Source organism: Homo sapiens, chromosome 2, assembly GCF_000001405.40.
Source record: "Homo sapiens chromosome 2, GRCh38.p14 Primary Assembly".
NCBI classification, from domain to species: domain Eukaryota; kingdom Metazoa; phylum Chordata; class Mammalia; order Primates; family Hominidae; genus Homo; species Homo sapiens.
The window spans coordinates 191,220,785-191,228,538 of record NC_000002.12 but is presented as its reverse complement, the minus strand read 5'-3'; the positions used below and the strand labels follow the sequence as shown (position 1 = coordinate 191,228,538).

General features: G+C 39.9%; 1 annotated feature.

Annotated features, from left to right (window-relative positions):
- Positions 7,585 to 7,754: an enhancer, noted in NCBI's record as "active region_16881". NCBI's record gives its function as "activates an Ori minimal core promoter by ATAC-STARR-seq in GM12878 lymphoblastoid cells {active_cell/tissue: GM12878}" and the evidence as "EXISTENCE:reporter gene assay evidence [ECO:0000049][PMID:35858748]".

Genomic DNA, 7,754 nt, shown 5'->3' with positions numbered 1-7,754 from the left:
CCAAAGGGCATGCCTAACCAGGACCACAGGGAATAGATGCAGCCAAACTTAAGCTTCCTCCTTCTGCATGGTAAAGAAACCTTATATATCAAAAGCAAATTATTACACTTTAACATAGAAAATTAGAGGAATACGGCACCCTTTTAACAGAACCACAAATGAAGTGGAAGTTATCTATATCTGAGAATAAGATGGGCTAAGCTTATTGAAAATGTCGACTCCAGACTTTGTTTTTTCACTAAACTATATAAGGCAAAACAGAGGAGAGTGATGATAAAGGGTGGGGAGGAGGGGAGAGAGGAAAGTCAGGAGAACTGTATGATCATCACTGTTCTACAGAACCAGTCATAAATCCATTGTTCTCAAGGAAACCAATTCACTTTAAATTGTCTGATTATTCTGATAGCAGATATGGCCAAGTATAACTAAAACCTAATACACCTAAATGAGTATTTTCAACAGAAGCATAAAACATGTGTTTATTATCCTGACAGGTCCCCCCCCTCCCGCACCCAGTGCTGTGGTCCTCTTCTAAATCTCATTTTTTAACTGAGTGCTTCAGATGTTGAAGGTTGGGCCGGTCAGCCCCATAAGACAGGGAACAGGGTGGGCAGAGCTCCCAAGAGAAGCCTTCTTTGTTGCTTCTCACATTGTGCAGGTCCTAATCTCAGTGCAGACAGGACCAGAGCCAGGAAGATTTGTACTACTTGTGGTTATTGACTAGCTTATGATTGTGCTTTTTTGTTTTGTTTTGCTCCTCTCTACCTTTTTTTTTTTTTTTTTTTTTGAGACGGAGTCTTGCTGTGTTGCCCGGGGTGGAGTGCATGGCGCCATCTTGGCTTACTGCAACCTCCACCTCCCAGGTTCAAGCAATTCTCCTGCCTCAGCTTTCTGAGTATCTGGGATTACAGGCACCTGCCACCACGCCCAGCTAATTTTTTATATTTTTGGTAGAGACAGGGTTTCACCACATAGGCCGAGCTGGTCTCGAACTCCTGATCTCAAGTGATCCACCTGCCTCAGCCTCCCAAATTGCTGGGATTACAGGCATGAGCCACCACGCCTGGCCTGTTTCTCTCTACCTTTTAGCCTGTCGGCTCCATAAGCTCCAGTGTCCGTGACGTTCATAGTGTATTCTCAGCCCCAGGGATGGACCCTGGCACATGGTAAGCATCAATAAATACTTATGAAATGAATGAAGGAAAGAAGTGATAAACTCACAGCTAAGGGAATTAAATGATTCTCATTACTTCTGGAGTATCCCTAATGGCTCTAAACACAACGCTAGTAACATTCTCCAACATGTAATTCATCAAACATCTAATGAGTGCCTACTATTTGCGTGTAATGAAGGCATTACCTGCCATTCTTAGTGCACTCCACTTCTCATTTCGTCCCTTCAAACATCATCTCCCTCCAAAAGTTGCAGCCGGAGAAATCCTGTTCTCAGTTCCAGAACAAAGTTCCACAATGTTAGTATTTCTCAAAGTATTTTTCCAGGGAAGGGCTGCCTGTTTTACTACAGAAAGCACTCCTGAGCAGGCACCAACTACCTTTATGATTAATTGGCCTAAAAATTTACCATATAGTTCACATATAATTCTTATTAGTACATCAGAAGATACTTTCACTAGATGGAAGTAGTTTTTCTACTTAATGTGTTTTAGGTTATTATTGTTACAGGAATGTTAGTGAAAATCAGGCAGAATTCATATTTCAAGGACCTAGTCTTTCCCCACTTCCTTTTAATTAATTTACTTTCCCAGAGAAGAGTAGCAATTGATCTCAAGCCAGTGTAGTGGCCTCTGCTGTTTCTGTGTCTAATTCTGGAGGTAAACTTTAAGAAAACATTTTAAAGAATAAATAGGCTAGGTACCAGGCAGTTGTTCTCTTAAACGGGACATTTTTATTTTTTTGCATCTTTTGTGATGTATGAAGAAGAAAAATGATATGATGCGCTTTAGAACCACATTTTATCTATCATATGGCAACTGTTACTCTGAATGAAGAAAGTATGCATAGAATGTTTGAAAAAATTATTCTGAGACATCATCTTCTTGAATGGCCTCTCTCAACACATGGTTTAGCTGTCTCTTTCAGGCAAATGGGGGGACTCCTTTGGGATTCAGAAAATGCTTCCCATCCTAATACAGGTCTTTGTAGGACATCTAGAACGGCAGAGGGAAATAAAAATACTTTCCCAAGGCAGAAGACTTCTGGTCAATAGGAACACATGTGGAATCTGGAAGGATTCCAATCAGCTTACTTGAAGTAATTCCAAGGCTTTTCTAATTTTAAAAACATATCTTTCACTCATGTAGGCAACATGGACAATAATTGATAAATGTCATGAACATAGCAGTATGGATCATATGGGATAAAATATTCTCTTTGAGAGCAAGTTTGTTTTTAAATTCTTAATGTCCTCTACTCTCAATTTTATTTAGCTTATTGATAATGTTATGGTTTCACAGGTGATTTCATTGTTTTCATGCACACAGATGAGATTTGAATTATGTATTTTTAATGTTGTATTAAAAGCCTATTTCAAATCCCTCTCAATAAAAATAGTTACTGCTTGGGATGGTTCTGACTCTCAGTGGAGTACAGTAACCTTCATTTGCATCCTTGAACAGGGCTCTGCAGGAGAGAAATCCTTCCAGGGACCTCATTTGGAACCCTCAGCAGGGGTAAAATTATGAGTGAAGCAAGAATTTCTTTTGTTTGTTTTTCCAGAAAAGAAAAGAGAGATGCTCTGCAAAATGTTTTACTAAAGAAAAAAAAAAATATATGGTTGCTTTTCTACCTCACCTCCTGCCTCGGTAGTTAAAGGAAAGGACAAAGAGCCAGGACTTTACCTTAACAAAATCTCAGGAATCACAGAGTTCACAGCACCCTCTCTGGGCCTCAGTATCCCAATCTGTTAAAGAAGATGCAATATCCACTTCATAAAGTAGTTTAAATAAAACGTAAAGCCCTGGAACAAAACCTGGCACATATTAAGTGCTCAGTAAATATTAGTTTGTGTTAAAAATAGAAATGACCTTCTATAATGTTGATTGTAAGAATTAATATTTTGCTGTTAGAATTTGTTCTAGATAGCTCAGTAATTATACAAGACTCTGGGGGTGGGGGAAGCATTTGGTCTGGCACTTTCCATAGCTATTGTATCTTCCAGCAAACACCTGTGATTGCTTACTGTTTATGAGCTACTCTGCTAGGAAAGACAGAGGCCAGGATCCAGGGCCTGCTGTCTAGGTGTTCACAGTCCAAAGAGGGAGTCATTCCTAAACCCGTCATTGAAATGCAATATGGCAAGTTCTGTAATAATAGTAATTACACTTATTATTTATTGACTTTCTGTCTTGGGGTGGGTCAGCACTTTACAAATACTGTCCTACTTTGCTCTCACAGCAACTCCATAAAGTAGGTGTTATTATTACTGTTTCACAGATGAGGAAATGGGTTCAGAAAGGCTAAATAATTTGTCCAAGGTCACATAGCTGGCTGGCAGGGCTGGAATTAGACTTCAGCTGTTTAAATCCAAAATCTATGTTCTTAATCATAACACTACTCTTCTTCCCTTAAATATTACATATAAATAATAATATATATTATTTTATTAAAATAATGAATATATTATTGTATACAGATAGCACAAATATTTGGGAGCACTGAAGGACTAGCTGGCTAATTCTGCCTGAGGGACTATAGGAGATCGTCAGTGAGGATGTGACATTTGAGTTAATCAACAGAACTATTTTCATGGATATATCACGGATCAGATTCAAGTATATATTTTATTTGGTTTCCCTCCCTACCCAGCTGCCAGAAACCTGAATTTCAACCTTTTTTAATTGCAATACATTTTCAAGTTTATTTCACCTGTGTACTATATTTGGTCATGGTATACACTTGGTCAGTGAAACTCTAATAATAACATCTTCCCATTTTCAGGAGAAAATGAAAATCACACACACAGACACACACACACTCATTCACTGTAGTATATCAGGGATTTCTTTAAATAACAAATTCCAATAGATCATGATACACTTTTATGAGGCATATATAATGATATACACCAAAATGTTAACATTGATTATTTCTAATTTTACAGGTTCTGAGTTTATGGGTACAATTGTTTACTTCTATATTTTGCAAGTGTTCTCAATTAAACATTTATCACTTTTGCAATCAGATTATCCATGTATTTCAAAACAGGCAACAAAACCTCCTAGGTGTTGTCCTAAACTCAATGCATGTTCAATGCAATCAGCTACAACTTGTCTACATCTCCAATAACAAGTTCCCTGAGGACAAGGACTACATCCCCAGGAAGAGGTAGAAGTAAGACCTTGCCTGTGGTGGTGCTTGACAATATTTATTTCTTAATGTGAAAAATGAATACTTGGGGAAAACTGTACAACTTATAAATGAAATCAGAGCTGAGAAACCCTTGAACTGATGTTCTAGTTAATAATGTATAAACAAAACAATTATTCACATCCTATTCCATAGGATTTCTCTCAAAATGTGTCTTGTTATGTACAAAGTGCTTAGTAGAAAGAAAAGAGGGCTACTCTGGAGCCTTGAATATCTTGCAGTCTAGCTCTGGAGACCAGACATGAATGCAGGAAAAAATAACTAGCAATATGTGTGTAGAATGTTAATCTCTGTCCACAGACTCAAGTGGGCAAGAAATATGAGTCCATTTCTAATTTTAAAAAGGTGCATTTCTTTAATACAGAAAATAGTGAATGTCTACAATTCATATCAGGTTTAGATTCATCTGAGTGGCAGAAATGTAATCCTAGGCAATTTAAAGACCTCCCTCTCTCTTTTTCCATGGTGTCAGGCCTAAGTTTGAGGGGATCAAATGCTAGGAAAAATAGACAGGTATCCAAGTTGGCATCTACTGAGATCTGTTGTCCCATTGGCCTGCAGGGATTGAACTACTCAGACTGCTGCTTGGATGGGCCTTGCACCCATCCAAAGGGCTCCTTCTGGTCCAGTGACTGTCCTTGCTGACAAAGTTCTTCCTGAGGCCCCAGCATGTCACTGGGCCTGGGGTGGGGTTTGAGGGGCTATCCAAGGGCCTTCAGCAATTCTGTGTTCTTCATGAGCATACAGGAATCATTCCCTAGATGCACATCAAGTTGGGCTGGGGGCACTCTGTGAGGCAGCCTCAGGCCCATGCATCTAGACAAACTCCATAGCCACACCCCATAGCCATTTCTATTCTGACATCTTGAAGCCTCTTCAAGCTCTCTGTGCAACTAGGGGCAGCAATCTCTACTTCCCTCCTGAGATTACTGTTGTCTCCCAGCCAAAACAAACCAGCAGCTCATGGTTTTTATTTCCCCTCTGATAGTCAGGGACACTTACTACTCTTGACCCATCAAATGATCCTTTGCAGTGGGAAATCTTGTTCCTGCGTCATTGCGTATCCTCTCAAATCTACTAACTTCTCCTGAGAATGCCTTGTTCCCTGTAGGCTTTATATATTTGAACTCAAGTCAGAGAAACACTTCTTTTTTTTCTCTGAGCCAGTGGATGGCCCATCGTCTAGCTGCAAAATGGAAGAAAGGCCATAGGGTTACAAGAAAATACACACAAAATCCTCAGCTAGTAGGTTAAGCCATCTTGATACCAATGAATGTTCAATATACTCACAGAAGAGATGGGCAGGTCTAGACTTGAGACAGGCTCGGGCCTGCTGAGAAACTGACCTTCTCTTCACTTAGTCTGGCAGCCAATACTCAGAAAGTGCAGGGGTTGCTCTGCACTCACTGCTTGTGTACAGGCTTGCATGTGGTTAGAGTTTCCACAATGGTCAGGCAGAAGGAGAGACCGGAATAGAATAAGGCCTCTTGTAATTGTGGAAGAGGCCATCTGGCTCTGGCACAACACTCATTCCGTGGCAGAAACCCCAGGGGAGACTTCAGGGCGTAGCAAACCTCCAAACCTCCAAGATGTGTTCCTTCCTGTTTTCTATCACCATCTCTTTAAATTTTTGTCTTCTTCACTACCTGTTGTATCTGTTCGTGTCCTTCACCCATTATGACATACATGAAAAATGTCACAGAAGCATAAAGTTTAATGAATATATTTTATAAATATTAATATAAATATTAATGTTACTTTTAGTAGGTTCAATTAATGACTTTGGGCAAATTGCTTAACCCCTTTATTTGTCCATTCATTTAACAATTATTTATTAGGCACCTACTATGTGCTAGGTACAGTGCTAGTTGTTGGAAAATAACAAATAGCAAAACCTACATAACTGCTACTCTTCTGGGGCTTATACATTTGTGGGAGAAACACAAAAATATTTTTTTAAAAATCACGCAAACACAAATAACTTATAATGATTGCTGTGAAGGAAAAGTTCATGGAGCCACTCTGAGGGAAAAGGAGGCTCTTTTTGAGGCAGTGACATTAAGCTGATACCTAAAGACTGAAGGTTGAGTAGGGGTTAACTTGATAAAGCTTTTGTGCTAGGTGAGGGCGTTAGTATTTTAGGCCAAGAAAACAGCCCTTGAAAAGACCAGTGACTGGAAAGAAGCATCATGAGGCGAGGCCAGAAGGAATGAGCAGGCGTTATAGACCATGTTAAGGATTTAAAAAATCTTTTTCCACAGAGCAACTGGAAAGTTTTATATGTAAGCATGACATATCCAGACTTGCATTTTAAGAGATAACTGGTTGCCGCGTCATCATTTCTCCTTCATTTCAGCCACCCATTCTTAGAGCCACATCAACATTTCACATCAAGAACTCAGAAATCTTAGTCTCTGGACACAACCTCCTATTCCATGGTTGTAGCAATTACTCCAGGAGTTCTGGTTCTTTAAGTTTATTGACACCTCCAGTAGCTTCCTCACTCTATTGTCTAATACTCGTCAGTCCCTGATCCCTTCACTTTTCTCTCTATCTAGCTAAGATCCTGTGGCCATCACTTAAACCACTCTCATTAATATCCGAAATTACCTTGTCCCAGTATTGTTTCTATGACATCCACCCAGAAGAACTCTGTATTATCCATTTTCACATTGCTAAAAAGATACTACCCGAGACTGGGTAATTCATAAAGGAAAGAAGTTTAATTGACTCACAGTTCCACCTGGCTGGGGAAGCCTCAGGAAACCTACAGTCATGGCGGAAGGGGAAGCAGGCACCTTCTTCACAAGGCAGCAGGAGAGAGAGGAGTGAAAAGCCCAGGGGAAATTGCCATTTATAAAACCATCAGGTCTCATGAGAACTCCCTCACTATCACGAGAACAGCATGGGGGAAACCACTCCCACAATCCAATCACCTCCCTCCAGGTCTCTCCCTCAACACCTGGGGATTGCAATTTAAGATGAGATTTGGGTGGGGACACAAAGCCTAACCATATCAAATCCAGTATGTAGCAGAGCATCTGGCACAGAGCAGACACACAATAAAAATGTGTCAGTGAATGAATCCAACTATATTCAGCATTTATCATCATCATTTTCTCACGTTACATTTAGCCTTTCAACTCATTGCAATCTGGCTTCTGCCTTTAGTGTTCCGTAGAAACTGATCTTGCTAAGGTCACCAATGGCCTCCTTGTCCCCAAGACCAAGAATATGTTTTAGTTCTCATCATCTTTGACTTTTCAGGAGCTTTCAATACCATTGACCACTTCCTCTTTCTTTATTATTTTTGGGGGAGGGCACTGAGCCTTCTGATTTTGCTCTTGCACCTCTGACTATTCTTTCTG